General features: G+C 39.9%; 1 protein-coding gene across 13 annotated transcripts in view, besides 1 other annotated feature; it reads right to left on the bottom strand.

Moving 5' to 3' along the window:
- The window catches only part of SLC1A3 (solute carrier family 1 member 3), a 91,747-nt gene that overhangs the window by 54,357 nt on the left and 19,650 nt on the right, over positions 1–17,740 (bottom strand). For 9 of the 13 annotated variants that reach the window (NM_001438455.1, NM_001438456.1, NM_001438454.1 and 6 more), the window contains one exon: positions 4,391–4,528. The exons of 1 other annotated variant lie outside the window; for it this stretch is intronic. In NM_001438455.1, the coding sequence (NP_001425384.1) occupies positions 4,391–4,528 (138 nt within the window). Of the gene's footprint in view, positions 1–3,477; positions 3,564–3,933; positions 4,036–4,390; positions 4,529–17,740 lie in introns of all 13 variants that reach the window. 3 more of the 13 variants (NM_001438460.1, NM_001438461.1, NM_001438462.1) reach the window with 3 other exon arrangements.
- Positions 14,485–14,999: an enhancer, noted in NCBI's record as "OCT4-NANOG-H3K27ac hESC enhancer chr5:36619081-36619595 (GRCh37/hg19 assembly coordinates)". NCBI's record gives its function as "activates a minimal SCP1, AML or CMV promoter by ChIP-STARR-seq in naive H9 embryonic stem cells {active_cell/tissue: H9 hESC(naive)}" and the evidence as "EXISTENCE:reporter gene assay evidence [ECO:0000049][PMID:30033119]".

Below are 17,740 nucleotides of genomic sequence, written 5' to 3'. Positions count from 1 at the left end.
AGAGCGGGGGAGTCGGGTCTCAGGCTCCCAGAGCCTTTGTTAGGCAATTGCATCAATTTACAATTTCATAACATTGTTACTTATCTCCTTCACATGACAAGTAATAGGAGGTTTCCATTTTGGGTAATGATTGTAGGCTGTGGAAGAAGAGTATGTTGGTTTAAAGAAAATATTAAGTAAATGAGACTGAGATGGTACCTATGATGGAAAATTCTGGGCTAGTTGACTTTAGGATGGAGATGCTGTGTCATGAAAATCAGATTTGAAATCATGTTCTTAAAAATCAGCTTGTCACTTTCTTGTTGGGAGTACAGAGAACGAGTCTTATCTCCTTTTAGTTGGAACTGGAATATTATGTGAATTAAGGGATGCAGGGAAGCTCTCTCCTCAGCACCCAACATACATCTTCTTGGGGACTGTATCTTTGTGTTCATGTATCCCCAGTGTCTGACATAGTAGAAGCGCAATAAACAGCTGTTAAAGAATGAATGAATGTTAAATGAGAAATTTCATCTACTTGATAATCCTGCCTCGAGGGTGCCCTACCATACGTCCCAGACACTGTTGCTTTTACTCGTGTTGACACTCCTCTCTCACCTCTTTTACTTACATCATGCCCAACACCACAGAGATTGCATGTCAAAAGTTGTGCTCCCCACTTCCAGAAAACTGGGGTGACACCAAAGATTTCTTCTGAGGTAAGTGATTGAGGGGGAATGCACACTTAGAATGAGAAAAGAAGAAAGCACTAGTTTCTGAAAAGATTCAGAAGTGAGGAGGTAATAGTTATGTCTACCCTGCACAACCAGATGTGACATTTAATTATTATCCAGTGAATTTAATCAGGCTAAGTCAGCCAAACCAACTCATATTTCTGGCATGAAATTTCTAGTTTGGCTGCCCATCCTGACCAAATCGATAGAAACTGGCACCAAACCCCTATTTTATTGTGTGGTGTGTTGGCACAGACATAGTCTTCTTGTCCAAAAAATAGGTACTTGAGTACAAATCTAGCCATTAGGCTTCCTCCCAGCTTCTTTCTGGCAGCCTCTGGAATGCTAATACACACCAGGGATGTTTGGAAAGATTGGAGTTTCAAATTCAGGGAAAAGGGAACATGGCTTACAAGGGCTATAGAGCCACAACTCATAAACACGGATGTTTCAAGTAAAAAATATAACTTAGATGTCTCAGAATTTAAATGTGGCTTTAGTACAATTAAACTTATAGCATGTTTTCTAGAATCTTCCACAATAAAAAGCTTAGTCCAAGAAACACAATAATAGTTTTATGCATTTCAGTTTCTGTCTACAGACCCTGGGACAACTGAACTTAGGAGAAACAAGTCTATAAAGTATTTCCCCACTGGGAAATATTTCCTATGGGAGCATGACCTCTGAGTTCTTACTCCAGTGTTCCTTCTGGTGCAGAAAAGACCAGAATGGCTACTACACAATGCAGTTATACCCAGAAGATGGAGAGAAGAGGCTTTCCAATAGCAATTTGTTTAGTCAGCAGTAAACATGATGTTCAGTAGTGAATTCCACATTATCAGTTAAGCTTTGGCACAGGACTGCCAATGATTGGATTCTGACATTCAAACCTGAGTTCAAATATTGGTAGTCTGAGGGTTGGAATGGGCCTGCCATTGGAATTACATTGGAATGGGTGTACTGCGTTTGCTTTGCACTGGTTTGTTTCGTGAATTGTATCAAAGAATCTGCAGGTTCTTAAAAAATTTGAGATTTCTGGATACTCTTGAAAAACAGGAAGATCTGGCCCTTGTCTCAATAGTCTCTTTGCCTGCCTTTTGCCATATTATTCTGTAGTTGGGTCCCTCTCCGTTTATCATCATACTTGTCCCTCTTAGTTCTCTTGTTGAAGAGAAATATTTCTCTGTATCCATGACTCTATCAAAATAGGAAAACAAAAAATAGCCTGAAAGGGCAGCTTCATGTACATGCATCACCCACGTGGCCACTGGAGGCATTTGAGGTTGCCTTTCCACTCTAAAGCAATGGAGCCTGCCTTTGTTTCTTCCCTAGGCAACACATTCTCCAGTAACATTTCCCAGTATACACAGGGATCCTCCAGGGGTCTGTGTAATTTGTAGAAGTTCCTCCCTTCCCATTATAGCTGGGTCATACCCTCATTTGGGTTAGAATTATTGTATTCAAAACCATAAAGGACATTCTTACTGAATCCATCATTCATTCCATTTGATCATAAATATCTAAATTACTGTGTAGTTTGGAAATTACTCACTTCAGACTAACACCTTAAAAAGATCTTTGGCGAACTAAATTCTGCCCCTCAGACTCCTTGCCTTAGCACAGTCCTGGACAAGAGCTAAAACTCTCTTAATGGTCCAATTTGGCAACACTCCCAACTTGCAATTAGGTTACAGTTTTAAAAGTTCATTTTATATTAGTTGTTTGCAGCTTATAATTCTTTTCTCTTTAACAATATTATAAATGTTAACAATTTTTCCAAGTTTTGACCAAAAATTTCTCTTTAGCCATGCAAAGGGATTGCATCATAGTATTTTTTTTTCTGAAAAATTACACAACCAAAGTTCTTATTTCTTCAATAAAGTTGTTTGTTATTAGGTATTAAGAAAAATCAGGAAATTCCACTTCAAGGTGGTGATCAACTGGGACTGCTGCTAAGGGGAAGTAACACTTCTCTAATTGTATCATATAAGGGCTTTTCTCTTTTAAAGAGTAACACATTGGATTTTCAGCACAGTTAAGAGAAAGCAGATACCTCTAAACATTGGTTCCACCCTTGAAGAGAAAGTATAAAAGATCCAGAACCCCTCGGTTTGTGTATAGGAAAACTGCAGGCACTTAATCCAGATGCCCTGCCAGCAGGGATGGTGAGGAGAGACTCTGCTCTACCACAGAAAATGTCAGATGTGGGTTCTGTCTTACAAGTGCTTTCTGTGAATAATTTGTTTCCCAGAAAAATATCAGCATATGGATAATAAAATAAGCATGTGCCCTCATGTCAGCATGAATATAGCTTTTGTGGTAAGAACTGTAGCTGCTGTGATTACCCCTGGTCAGCAATGGACCATCCCAGCTTCACAAACAAGTACATCAAATCAACTCCAGGACTGTTTTATGGGCAATTCATTCTCCAGTGAAAGCATATGTACATGCAATCACTTGTTTAAGGCCCTGGACAAGTGGAAACCAGCAGAGATCTGCAAGGCATTGAGGGAAAATCTGACATAGTTCCTGTCTAAGTAATAGCCAGCCCTCCAAGGCATGTAATAGAATGTTCCTCCATGACTTTTGAGTTGTACTATGAAGTTCTCATTACACAGAGATCTTGAAGGATAGTATAAATATCCTTGAGAACTCCCTGGGATGGGAAGGATTCTCAGTGCCAGCTCACATAGAGGTAGAGTGGTATATGCCCAACAGGGGAACAGTGAGCCAAGGGTGGAAAAGAGAATAGGGTCAGTAATACCTGAGTTCTGAGCTTTACCTACAAACCCAGAAATCATCCTGCTCGGGCAGTGTCTATGGAAATTCCTTCTCCAAGTCAGAGATGTGCTGTGGGGAAAGAGAAGAGTGGGCAGGAAGGAATGTACAGTAACATTTTTCTGCAACTTCTTGGCTCCATCTGATTCACCAATCACATAGACAAATGACTCTTTCACCTTTTCCCATGCAGGAATAAATGGTTATCTCATTGTCATAGAACATAGAATCCTATCCTGCAAAGCTTCCACTTGTTAAAAATCCAAGTGTCCACTGATAAAATATTCAGATGGGAAAATCTCCCGCCCCCTCCCCCTTCTCCCACTAGCATAAAAGGTAACGGGGGTGGGAGGCAACTGGAGAAGGAAATGAAATCATGCGGGTACACCAGGAAAAGATAAGTGTTGGTGGCAGCAGAGTTGGTGAGTGTTGTGGGCATTACCTCTTGATGAGGCTTCCAAGAAGGCTCCCGCTCAAGTCCTGGTGGTTCTGAGAACAAGCATTCTTGCATCAATAGCTAATAGGCTGTCCAACCAGATGTTATCTGGGTGGGATAAGAGGGTGAGAAAACAGACCTGTTGTACGCTGTTGTCAACTACATCACTGTGGTCAGAGAAGGCTGATGGTGTGGTGTTTAGCAGGGCACCTCGTTCACTGTGAGGCGAACCAGATTACGTGGCTGTTTAAATTCGTTTCCTCTTGTGATTGGTAAAATACGAGAGTTATAATCATTCATGCATTACTAAAGCCTCCTTTCCATCATTTTGAAGGGACTTTTTTTTTTTTTCTAGAACAGAGCATGCATCCAGCAGAAACCTAAAGCACTGGCTTTTCTAAGCAATCTTTTGCAATAAACACACTTAAAAAAAACCAAACAAACCAACAACTGCTTATGGTACCTGTGACAAGACTGGAGATGATAAGTGGTAAGACCAGCATCTGTAACATCCTCATCAGAAGTTCCCCAGGAAAGGAGAAGTACTTGACTTCCCGGTAGCTCATTCTGTATGGTCGGAGGGTAAATCCAAGGATTGTACCTGAAGGAAAAAAAAAAAAAAAGAAAAAGAAAAATTGAGTCTTTTTTGAAACAGAAGGAACAGCCCTAGCAAAATGAGTAAGTATTTGGCTGGTGGTTGTATTTATTTAAGCAGCAAATATCTGTGCTGCTTTGGGAGCAAGAGATGTATCTATCTTTGCAGTCATTATCTGTGAGGGTCTGGCTGAATCCGTGGTTCAATAGAACTTATAGAAAAAAACTCTTTCTAGTTTCAACAAGTAAAAAAATCCCTTTGTCTAACTTGAATGCAGTGGAACTCATTCTGACCTGGCTCAATACAGAGTTACAAAGATTGGGGCATAATTAGGAAACAAATAAGCATTCACGAACAGGTGATATAGAAAAAAAAGGCTTTATTTTAATTAAGTTCCTTTATAACAACAGATGTTAGAATTGCTAACATAACCACTTTTAAAGGATAGTGTGATTTTATTTTTTTTTCCAGTTAGAAAAACCCCTCATGTTCACATTGTTAATCCATTTTCATCATCTCCCTGTCTTCACACCACATTTTCTCCCTCTGTCTACATGGTCTTGACATTGCCTTGGTAACTGTATTGTACAGACTTGTTAGTTGCTGGCAAGAGAAGACTCCAAAATGAGCAGAGATTTTCTCCCCAAAATTTTCCCTGAAAACGTGGGAGAATATAGGGGAAAGAGAACGCAATTTTCCCCTTAATTTTCCCTCTACAACTGAAACTTTAAAATCTTTTTAGAATGAGAAATTTGCATTTAAATCAAATTATGCATGATAACTACTGAAATGTTCAGAAATTAATAAAGGTATTGGTGTCAATAAAAGTGTAAATTTACTCCCTCTCCCCTTTACCTAATTTACTTTCCTTGCCAAAGAAAATTTACTTATGCCAGTGTTGTAAATGTTTTTAAAGTTTTTGCCTTGCTATTATTACTGAAACATGTGATTCCATTTTTTAAAAAAGTCCATGTAAGTTATAGAGAAAGCAGCATGCCCAGCACTGAGTTAACTAGGAGCTAAAGGCTGGGGGTGGTGGGTTGGTGGGGAGAAGCGGGAATGATACCGGGTTGGCACAAGCTTTTCTAGAGGAGGCAAGCAGTCTTTTACGGAAACTGAACTGTCTTAACTTCTTATGAAATGGGACACAAAGTTCATTTGAATTGTCACTGCAACTCCAATTTCAATTCTTGGGTCTTAGCAACCATAAAGTATCCATTCTTTGTCTCTAAACTGTGATATTCTAATAAGAATCTTAATCTACGTGGCTAAAAAAAATCCAGCTGACCCAGCTCTCAGGGCCTTCAGGTAAATATTTATTGCTTTTTTCCAATGTAACAGTAATATGGTCAAGGAGAAAAGTTGAATTGGAAAACGCAGAAAGGTGGGGCAAAATCCTGCCCATATTGTTTGTATCACTGAAATAAATAGTAAATAACTAATGCTTACTGAGCTCTTGCTATATGCTGGGTGTTGCCTAGGTTAGCAGCAAATTTAATCCTTGCAACAACCCCAGGAGGAGGGTACTATTTTACCACTAACTTACTGAGGGAGAAACCTAATCACGATGAACTTAAAACTTGCTTAAAGTCAAATATACTCAAGTGGCAGAGCTAGGATTTAAAAACAGACAATTTGGACTCAGATCCCAGGTTCTTAACCCCTTTATGTGTTTCCTCTTCTCCTGTAGAGCAAAGGCAACCACTTTGTGTGTCTCTTTTGCAGAATGTTCCAATACATAGTTAAACACATGGAAATCATACAGAATATACTTTTCCATATACGGTCCCCATAAACATCACTTTTAGGTCTCCTGATATCAGATTCGTTCACTGTATCAGGCTTTACTTTGTCCTCACTCTATTGTTGAACATTTAGGTTGTTTGGCATTTTTCACTTTTATGAAGCATATCATGATGAATATATGAAGGCTATTTTACATCTGGGATTTTTTTTTTTTAGTGTAGTTTTAGAGAAAGGGAACTGCTACCTCAGAGGATACGACTACCTGAATCCATGTTACGAAATTGCTTTCTGCGTGGGTTGGCTGGGTAGCTTAATGCTCTATTAGTGAATGAGGCTTTATTTCCTCTACCCCCAGGAGCAGAGTATTATCATAAAAAGATTGTTAAAACAAGCAAAATTTGATAATGTGATGAGTAAATATTATATACTTTGTTTTATTTTGTATTTACTTAACATCTAATGATGTTGACTATTTTTCCTAATTGTATTTTCTCCAAGCATCTATTCAATCCTAATCGTTTAAGAGTCTAGGTACGTACGTGTGTGTGTGTGTATATGTTGGGTAGATTATTTTTATATAATAAAGATAATTACCCTTTGCCTATGTATAAAATACTTGCTATAACTGTTTTTCTGGTTTGTTTGCCTTACATTATATTAAACATGTACAGGTGTTTTGCATTTTTATAACAATGTCTGCACACCTTTTTTATTAGGTGATTTCTTCTTGAGTTTATACATTTTAATTTCCCTCCCCCCTCACAAGTTTGATAGATCTTAAATTCATGTTTCTTTCTTTGTTTACTTGTTTTGTTTTAAAATATTTAACTTTCAATCTTCCTGGAACCCAATCTGGTGTAAGGCATTTAATTCTGATTTACAATGTGCATTATTTAACACAGCAGTATCCATAACTTATAGGAATTAATAAAATACTTTGGTTATATCTGTCTTTTTCCTGCTTGCTCACATAAAAGCCAAGTCACACAAAGATAAGTGCTTTATCACATATAAATAAACAAACATTTTGCTTTACTTCCAATCAAATTAATTTTACTGGAATTGATGATGTGTCTTTCTGATCTTCATTTAAATGGATTTAAACACTTGACATTCAATTATAACAAAACATGTGCATGATAAACACAAGGGGCTCATTTTGGTCATCTGGAATTTGAACGTATCAAGCTGTCACGAGTTTTAGATATTCTGCAAACAACAGTTGAAGACCAGACTTGGTTTTACAAATTCATATCCAAGTTGGCTGTTTGTTATTAGAAATACACTTACTTACATACAGTAATATTTCCAAGGGTAGGCAGGATACTATCTAGTCCATAAAATTTATCTTATTTATAAGTAATTGATAGAATAGCTGTTCTGCTAATGATATAGGTTCTAGAAGCAAAAGTCAAACAAGGGCTGATGAAGGAAGCGATTATTCTAAATACTAGGTGCACTTGATCTCATCTTCCAGAGTCTCATCTGAGCCTACACTAACTCTACTCCCATTGATACAACAACACTGGTTGTGTATACAGCCTCTTCCTCTCCTTGGGTGTTCTACTACCTTCTCTCCTCTTCCCCACTCAAGCCCTGCACTTACTCAGTGCAACCAATTTTTATTTAGGTATTAGGAGGGAAAGTAAGCCAGCTCCATGAATGAATTCTGGGTAATGTGTGAATGACACAGTCTCTTACCTGCCAAACAGATATCTAACAGAACAATGCAAGACAGTAAGGGAAGCAAAGTCTCAAGAGGTGGTGATATTTTGTGTGTGTCTCTCCTTATAGTCAGCAAGCTGGTCTTGCTGGGAAGTGCAGTCCTACTCTAGGATGTGTCTCTATTTCTTTACATTCCTTAAGACAACACCTACATTGTCTAAAAGTTCTTCTCTATAGTAGGAGGACGTCATTTCTCTAAAGTAGGACATCTCTTCTCTATAGAGAGGAGACATCATTTATTTATAAGGGATAGTTTTAGGTCAAAAGTTTTGAAGAGAGGTGTTGTTTAGAGTGATAGTAGATTCAGACACATTTTGAATCATTTTTATCCCTGACTATGCTTTGGTTGGTTTACTATTTCTGGGTTTACCAGGTGAGCTATTTCTACTCTTGAAAAAGATGAGATTACACTGGGAAAGGGGAAAATTTATTGAGCCCTTACTATGTGTTAACGATGGTGTTTAACACTCATCACAACTTTATGAGGTAGATATTATTGTATCTATTTTATTTTCTTTTTATTTTTTTGAGATAGAGTCTTACTCCGTCACCCAAGCTGGAGTGCAGTGGCACAATCTCGGCTCACTGCAACCTCCGCCTCCTGGTTCAAGCAATTCTCATGCCTCAGCCTCCTGAGTAGCTGTGATTACAGGCATGAACCAACAGGCCCAGCTAATTTTTGTATTTTTAGTAGAGATGGGGTTCTGCCATGTTGGCCAGGCTGGTCTCAAACTCCTGACGTCACGTGATCCGCCTGCCTCGGCTTCCCGAAGTGCTAGGATTACAGGCGTGAGCCACTGTACCAGGCCTTGTGTCTATTTTAAATATTAATAAACTGATGCTCAGAAGTCAGTTAACTTGCTCAGGCTTATAGATCTCATAAGTGGTTGAGTGGAGGGATTCTACACAAAGCCCAGTGCTCTTTCCGTTACTCTTTTAATGCCTCTCAAACACAAACATGCTCTTGTAGCCTAGGCCTGAGTATAGGTCTCAAAAGAGCCTGGTTCCTGGGTCTTTAGCATCTTGAACTCCTACATGGTGAACGCCCTGGAGAAATAACCTTGGATCTCCTACACATGTCCTGTAAGCACCAGCACATCTTGGAACCCTTTACAGGTCTTCTTACTTGCTGAAGATCTCAAAGGTGGTATAGCCACTTTCAAAAATGGCTATACCAAATCCTTTTTCATGATTTAATAAAACTTATATAAAGCTTATTAATTAAAATAGTCTGCCTTTCCCTCCACTGCACACATTTTCAGTCACTAGAAACCATCGGTAGTAACGTGAGAAGGACATTTAATTAAGAATTTAATGAAGACGTGTGTCAACGTTTGCATCCTTAACAGCAACAGCTCCTAGTCATTGACCACGTGGCAGATACCAAGTCCTCACAAGCACATTGCCTCACGCATTGTATCGAGGCCAGGACTATTATTGTTATCCACATCTCACAGATGAGGAATCAGAGTCATTGAGAGGGCAGGTAAATTGCCAAAACCACACAGCTGGCAGGCTGGCGCCACAGTAGGCTTAAAGAGGGGTTACGTGCTCACCTAAGTCCATGGAGTGGCTGAGGTGGACCTGATACCCACACTGTCCAGCTCCAGGGTCCAGACTCACCCACTCTACTGTCCTCGCAGCCTCTCAACAGCCATGGTACTGACTGAAGGAGTCTAAATGGGTACACAATATTTTGCCTACTTTTTCATCTATTTTGAATGACATTAACTAAATCTAGAGCTTAAGCTGAGGAAAAGTTTTGTTGATTTTACTTAACGAAGTCAACAGCTAGCTTTTCTCAACTCACTGCTGAATGAATCAACAAAAGTCATTTTTCATCAGCTTTCTGCTCCTACAAGCCACGTTAGAGCTGAAGCCAGAGGTAGGGTCGGCCAGCTATCAGCATCAAATCAAGAGGAAATGCGGTGAATACGAAGGCTGCTTATCTTGGTAGGCAGTTCTAGTTTCCTATTACATTCTACCCCAGCAATGAAAAAAGCCTTCATGGAAACACAGCCTGATACACAGACTTCTCAGAGCCCTCTTTGCTCTGTCTTTCCGACCAAGGAGACGTAGCATGACCAGTCTTTCTTTTTCTTTTCTTTTTTTTTTTTTTTTTGAGACGGTGTCTTGCTCTGTCGCCCAGGCTGGAGTGCAGTGGCGCAATCTCGGCTCACTGCAACCTCTGCCTCTGGGTTCAAGCGATTCTCCTGCCTCAGCCTCACAAGTAGCTGGGATTACAGGCATGCGCCACCATGCATGGCTAATTTTTTTTTTTTTTTGTATTTTTAGTAGAGACGGTATTTCACATTGTTGGTCACGGTAGTCTCAATCTTCTGACCTTGTGATCCACCCACCTCAGCCTCCCAAAGTTTTGGGATTACAGGCGTGAACCACCTCTCCCGGCCACAACCAGTCTTTCTCTGTGGTAAAGCAGCTCACCCTTTGCAAAACTGAGCTTCATTAGTGGTCACTTATTTGAAACACATTGATTGATAGTCCCAAAGCTGACAAAAAGCTTTATGGCCACCAGATCCTCAGTGCAAAAGAACGAATCCTTTATTATAGATTACTCTGCAAAAATAGCAATGAAAATCAAAATAACTTCCTAGCAGAATTTGTTAGAGCTGAAACAAATTTTGCAAAGTTTGCATCTAGGTGATGTTATACAATATATGGATGTCATGAGCAATATTCAGATCATGCACCCTTGGTTATCAATATTAGTTAAGATTTCTGTTTTACTCCAGTGTTAGTATTTTAACAAGATTTCTAGAATCTAGAAAATATATTGACTAGAATGTTTAAAGTGATCAAAATAACTGTGCTGGATGAATGCTATAAACAAAGTTGCATTTTTGCTTAAATAGTTTCTCTTTGCTAATGCAGAAAGTTCAAGAAAGGAGTCCTTCAGAGGTTCCTTGTTTTCCTAACAACAAACACTTCTTTTTTTTTTTTTTTTTTTTTGAGATGATGGAGTCTCCCTCTGTAGCCCAGGCTGCAGTGCAGTGGTGCGATCTCGGCTCACTGCAAGCTCCGCCTCCCAGGTTCAAGCCATTCTCCTGCCTCAGCCTCCCGAGTAGCTGGGACTACATGCGCCTGCCACCACACCCGGCTAATTTTTTGTATTTTTTTTTAGTGACGGGGTTTCACAGTGTTAGACAAGATGGTCTCGATCTCCTGACCTCGTGATCTGCCCACCTCGGCCTCCCAAAGTGTTGGGATTACAGGCGTGAGCCAATGCGCCCGGCCAACAACAAATACTTCTTTGGAAAATTAAATATCGTCTCATTTTCTAAACTAAGACACAACGTGCACACTGGAGCCTCAGAAAGAAGATATCATAGGTTTACTCTTTAAGGCCAAACACACACAATAAGTTACAAGCTAAAGACCAACTTTAAGAATTTGGTCCACATTTAATATGATAAAACTATTGAAAATATTAAGATGCCAGAAAATATTTAAGAGTAAAAGAATGAGGCATGATTTGAAGTAAACTTCAGACCAAATCATACTACTTAACTTTTGGTAAATGTTGGAGTTTGAAATAGTAAAATTTTACTAAAGTACCTCCTCTATCTGCGAACTTTGTCATGAACAATTTGGCAGACCAAAGTCTTCTAAGAGTTATTACTACGCCAAATCTTCCAGAAAACGAGGTAGTGCCCCAAAGGAGCTCAGATGTCAAAAGGAAATCTCAAAGCAATAGAGACAATGATCTTGACAGAAAGACCTCGCATTCTGAGGCCAACCACGAGAAAACTAAGTGCCTGACCAAGATGAGCCAGCCAGCTGTTTGAGCATTAGTGCTACAGGAATGCCAGGAGGCATTCATACCCATTGCCCAGAAAAACCTCAGCCTGCATATCTAGCCAGAAAGGGGACCAGGATGTCCATTTTCGTGGCTCAAGGAAAATCACAGTGTTGATAGCACACCACTCACTGGTTTTACGTGACACAAATGCTGCCATTTCACAGTTAGGATATTTCCATTTAGGTAGCAAAACCAAAACCAAACTAGCACTAATTTGTCTCAAGGTTACAAGAATTTGCCGTATAATTGTAATATAATCACAGGAGTGTCATCCCATCACCTCTGCCATATTCTGTTGGTTAGAAGTCACAAGTCCCACCCACACTTGACAATTGAGCTATACACGGCAGTTAGAGGTCAATCTAACATGCAGAGGTCTCTGGGCCTCCTTACCAGGCTGCTTCTATCTTCATAGAGAAGATGCTCTACAAATGTTTAAGGAATTAATGATGTCGAGATTCTAGTCCTAGCCCTTAACTCCCCGTGTGATCCTGGATAACTCTATTGCCTTCTATGCTTCAAATTTTTTTTCTAATTTGTAAATGAAGAAGGCTCCAAGATTAAAAAGTCACCCTCCTTATTGGCTGGACTATTGCAGTAGTCTTCTAACTGGTTTCTCTGCCTCTACTTCACCTCTCTCCAGCCTATTCCCAAAAGAACACTGAGACCTAGGTCAGGATCTCTCTCCCCTACTCCCTCCACTGACTCCTCCTCTCATGTAGTCAAAGCCCAAGACCATGCAATCAATGGGTGCTCCTGGCAAGCCCCCCTAGATCCACCTTGCCTCAGAACCCATCTCCTACTCTGCTCCCTCTCACCTGTTTCCACACTTCCCTCCTTGTCATTTCTCCATCATCTTAGACAGGATCCCCCTTTATGGTCCTTGCACTGGCTCTTCCTTCTGCCTAAAACATCATTCCCACATATCCACAACACTTACCTCCTTTAAGATTTAGTTCGGCCAGGCGTGGTGGCTCACGCCTGTAACTCCAGCACTTTGGGAGGCCGAGGTGGGTGGATCACCTGAGGTCAGGAGTTGGAGACCTGCCAGGCCAAGATGGTGAAACCCCCTCTCTACTAAAAATACAAAAATTAGCCAGGTGTGGTGGTGCACACCTGTTGTCCCAGCTACTCAGGAGGCTGAGGCAGGAGAATCGCTTGAACCTGGGAGGTGGAGGTTGTAGTGAGCCGAGATTGCACCACTGCACTCCAGCCTAGGTGACAGAGAGAGACCCTGCCTAAAAAAAAAAAAAGACCTAGCTCAAATGTCACTTTCTGAATGAGGTCTACCTTGAACTTTCCTATCCCTTAGCTGGTTTTATTTGTTTTAATAGTTCCTATCACCTTCCAAAATACAATATAATTTTCTATTTATTATGCTTGTTGTTTATTATTTTCTCTGCCTGCTAAATGTAAGCTCCACAAGGTTAGAACTTTTTTTGGTTTTTTTGGACAGTTTTGTTCACTGACCTATATCAAGCCCCTCAAACAGTTCCTGGCACACAGTAGGTGCTTAATATATTGTTGAACGAATGAACAAACATGTCTTATTTTCTTTCAGATGAGCAGGATCCAACAGTGCCTGGGCCCCAGCTGGTGCTGAGCACACTTTCTGAATGCAGGAATCTCTCTGTTCTGTGCTCCCCAGTAAATCTGATTCCCTACTGCAATCCCTGAACATAGTAGCCTACCCTAAGGAATGTCCCCTCTGTACAAAACCATGTGATTTTGCTCTCATGGTCTGTGGGACTGGATCTTGACTGAATTATGATTTCTCATAGGCTTAGCTTTCTAAATTCACAAATGAGGAATGACAGCTATGGATCCCGAATTTGCTCCTAAGGTAGGTTTTTTTGAGTAGAAGGGAGAGCAAGTGTGATGCTGTAGAAAGACAGTTCTGGGCCTGATCCTGTCAGTAACTTAGGGTAGGCGATGCTTTATCTAAATGATTTAATTTTCACATCAAACCTGTAGCGTTTAATATCAGTATCTCATTAATGAAAAGATTGAGGCCTAGAAAGAATAAGCCACTTGCCCAAGGCACATTGCGGTAAGTGATATGAGAGGATGGGATGGCAAACTTAGGTCTGCCTGTTTCCATATCTTCAAATCACACAATCTCTTCAGGCCTCTTTTTTCTTTTTTAAAAAAATCTGCAAAATGAGAGAGATCAATTGGAATGGGTGGTGTCTAAGATCCTCCTGAACTTTAAGTTCTGAGTTTAAAAGAACCATGTTCATCAAAAGCATTATAAATCTTAGCTGCTTTATACTAATTCATCTTGTTTCTGTTAATGAATTCTAAACTCCTTGATAATGCATATGAGAGCATTTAATGAGTCAAAAAATGTTTTAGCAATTTAGCCATTACAATTATTATGGCAGGCATGCAATAATTATATGAGAAATCAAATAAAAATTTCTATTTCAGGAATTGGCCCAATTTGGAGAAATCATAAGCCTGTCTCACACTTATGATTTTTATGTTTGCTTACAAACTACAGTTTGATGAAGCTGTTGGACATAAATTTCCATTCGCTTATTTTCATTATTTTTAGAGCTAGGGTCTTACTCTGTTGCCCAGGCTGGTCTCGAACTTCTGGCCTCAAGTGATCCTCCCGCCTCAGCCTTCTGAGTAGCAAGGACTACAGGTGCGCACCACAACGCCTGGCTAATTTTAGAAATTTTTTTAGAGACAGGGTCTCACTATGTTGCCCAGGCTGGTCTCAAACTCCTGGTCTCAAGGGATCCTCCTGCCTTAACCCCCTGAGTTGCTGGTATTACAGCAGTGAGTCACTGTGCCAGGCTGTATTGGCTTATTTTTACAAAGAAAGCAAAGCCATAATGGTGAATCTACCTGGGTAAGAGTTCTGCTGGTCCCTGGTCTTTTGTTTCTGTCAAACTTTCAGGCGTTTCCTGGTGAGAAGCTACTCAGTGTTGGAGGCAACCTCTTAACCCTCCCCCACTCCTCTGTTTCCACATCCTTGGGAGATTTGGGCCTTGGCCTGGCTCATTCTTTTGTCCTTTGGTATTTCCTGTTGAAGGTGGGAAATACCTGCCCCAGCCTTGTTCCACCAGGGGTGCCCAAATGAGAGAGCCCTGGGTGACTGATGACCAAGTAGAGTGGAGACACGGACTTATGTGCACACGGTGTGTGACTCTTAGAGACAACTGCATCAGAAGAACCTTGGAGTTTTAAGAAAGGCCTGGTGCTTTCTTCCAAAAACTGCACCAAAAAAGGCTATGTGAAGTGGTAATTTAATTTACAAATAATCCTACAGGTATTCTAAATGTCCAATCCATTGTTATTTTTAAAAATCTTCTATTCCAGAAATAGCAATTAAAAGCAGGACTTGTTGCCTTCCTTTCTGGAAAAAGGAAATTATTATGAACAAGTAGAAACTGGGAATGAAATATGTTTAAAATTTCCCAAGTTCCCCTGGTGCCTTTTGTGTGTTATATGCTGGTGCACAGCAAAGGTGTTCCCATTTCCATCTATTCCCTTTTCTGTTCTTTCAGAGCCTCTGTTCTACTAACTGATATGTCTCTGTGCAGTATGAAGAGTAAAGTTTGCTCTAGTTTCCTGATTTTATGTTCTGCTCTAGAGCCCAGCCGAGACCCATCTGTGCTCAGACTGTTAGCACCAGTATTCTGGGGAATTATTTGTGGACAGGTTGCATCCCCTAAGACTGTAACTAAAGCAGCCAGGGCTGGCCTGGGAGCGGGGTGATCCTAGCTTCTATAGACTTATTTCTGGCAGTCTCTTATTTCTAAGCGCCTTTGACACATCACTCAATGTTTCACTTTCTAAACTTCTGCTAAATTGGTGGTAGGGGGTGAAGGCTTAGAGGGAGGGATAAAAACTGAAACCCTGGTTCATCTCTTTCACAGTTTATTGTGAAGATGATAGATGGTAAGAGATGTGAAAGGGCTTCAAAAGTTGAATGTAACATACAAATTAAAGCTTTGGGTGTTGTATATGGATTAAATTTGGGCTTTAGAAGCAGGGAGATACCTGCATCTACCTGATTCTATCCTGAAATTGCAGTTTTCCAATGCACTGATTTCCTTAGTTTCCTCAGTCTGTCTGCGGAACCCGCACAAACTGCAAAGTCCACTCATGCTTACCTTTGGCAGAGGCAGTACAGTACCGAGGCTAACTCTTTTTTAAATCCCACATTTGTAGCAAATGACTACAAATTCTATGGAGTACAAATTAGCAATACTTATCAACATTATGAATGAGTATACCTTTAGACCCAGCAATTTCACTTCTAGGTATATCCAGATACATGGGTGAAAGATCATTCATTACAACGTTTTTAAATAAAAATGTCTAAAGACTGGAAACAACCGAAGTGTCCATCAATTGGTAATTGCTTAAATAAGTTATATTATGCCCATACAATGTAGCCCTAAGAATGAGGGGCCTTTCTACGTGCTAAGGAATAATATCCCAGGTATATTGTAAAGTGAAAAAAGCAAGGTGAAAAGTGGGCTATGTATACTATGCTATTATTTGTATACAAAGAGTCAAAAAAGGAATAAATACATATTTATTTTTATAGTCATAACATTTCTCCAAAGGCATACGAGAAATGAATAACAAGATAAACGGGAACCTTGGGGGACAGGGGTCAATAAGATACTTTCTTTTTATAAGCTTTTCTATTTTTTTATTTTGGACTATGTTAATTTATTTACTACATAAGTAAAATAAAATAGGCCAAAAAAAAAAAAAAAAAAAAAAGCCCGCAACCTTTTCTCCCTCTTTCTTTTTTAATCTTATTGGATTCTTTTCTGCAATATTTTTGCTGGATGCCTGCATCTTTCTAAAATGTCGCTTTGAGTCTGGGTTGATTTCTCCTCAATCCTGCTTTAATTTGCTTTAACGAGGAGTTTACTTAGTTTAGGCCATGGAGAGGAAAGTCACTAATTGTGTTCAGATTTATAGTGAGTAGATCACTTTCTGACCAAACCGCTTTCTTTTTTTTTGGAGACAAGGAAGCGAATCTGAAAAAACTTTGAACTCAATCATTATAGGCTCATGTGCAACTTCAATCAATTAGCCCTTGGAGTTACAAGTATGAGAAAACTGAAACCGCTCTGCAAAGATGACAAGCTCCTCGTCACCCATCGTCTCGTGGAAAGCACTGCAAAGTCAGAACTTACAAGGCCCTGAAAAGTTTGTTGAATCTCAGGTTTGCTTACAAACTACTTCATTTGCCCTAAAAGGGCAAATCTAAGAAAACAAAAATAAATAAATAACTAAATAAAAGCATGACTACTTTTTTCACAGGGAGTTTCTCCATAGACTCATAATTTCCTTCTTGATGTTTCTCTTCACATTCATCAAGTAGCTGAAGATACCAGCAAGCTTCTAGACAAGCACAAGAAACCCGGGCTTTTGTTTTATTTGCTTGAAAGATGATATTTCAAGTAATGCGATGTGTATAAAAGAAGGGACCATCTTTGCAGGGTATATTTTTCTCCCTACTCTCATTAGGGATAAACGAGCCTCATCATACAAGGTTCTGAATAAGAAGTCTCTCGCTAACAGCCGGCTGTCTTCTCTGTGTGAAGCAGCAGCAGTTTGTAGCCTGGAAACATTGTTGGAGAACTGGAGAAGTCTGAGGACAAGAAGAATGGAGTTGCCCTCTCTGGAGACAGAAACCCCGTCTTGAAATTCAAACCTTGGTTGTGCCTTTCAATTTGCTGCGCCTAAATTTACCTGCCAATCTTTGATAAGTTATACAAAGGGAAAAAGGGAGCGCCCTCCCTTAACTTATCCAGGGTATATCTTCCTTTATCTAAACCTTTTTGGGCCTTTTATCTTTCTCTTTTTGGTTTCAAACTCTCTTGAGCATATCTCTTGATAGGGCATAGTGATGTGAATATTCTTGGCCTAGGGAATAAGCTCTAGGCAAT

The sequence above is a fragment of the Homo sapiens genome, chromosome 5 (assembly GCF_000001405.40).
Source record: "Homo sapiens chromosome 5, GRCh38.p14 Primary Assembly".
NCBI classification, from domain to species: Eukaryota; Metazoa; Chordata; class Mammalia; order Primates; family Hominidae; genus Homo; species Homo sapiens.
The sequence above is the reverse complement of the archived record's forward strand: the minus strand, read 5'-3'. Positions and strand labels throughout refer to the sequence as shown.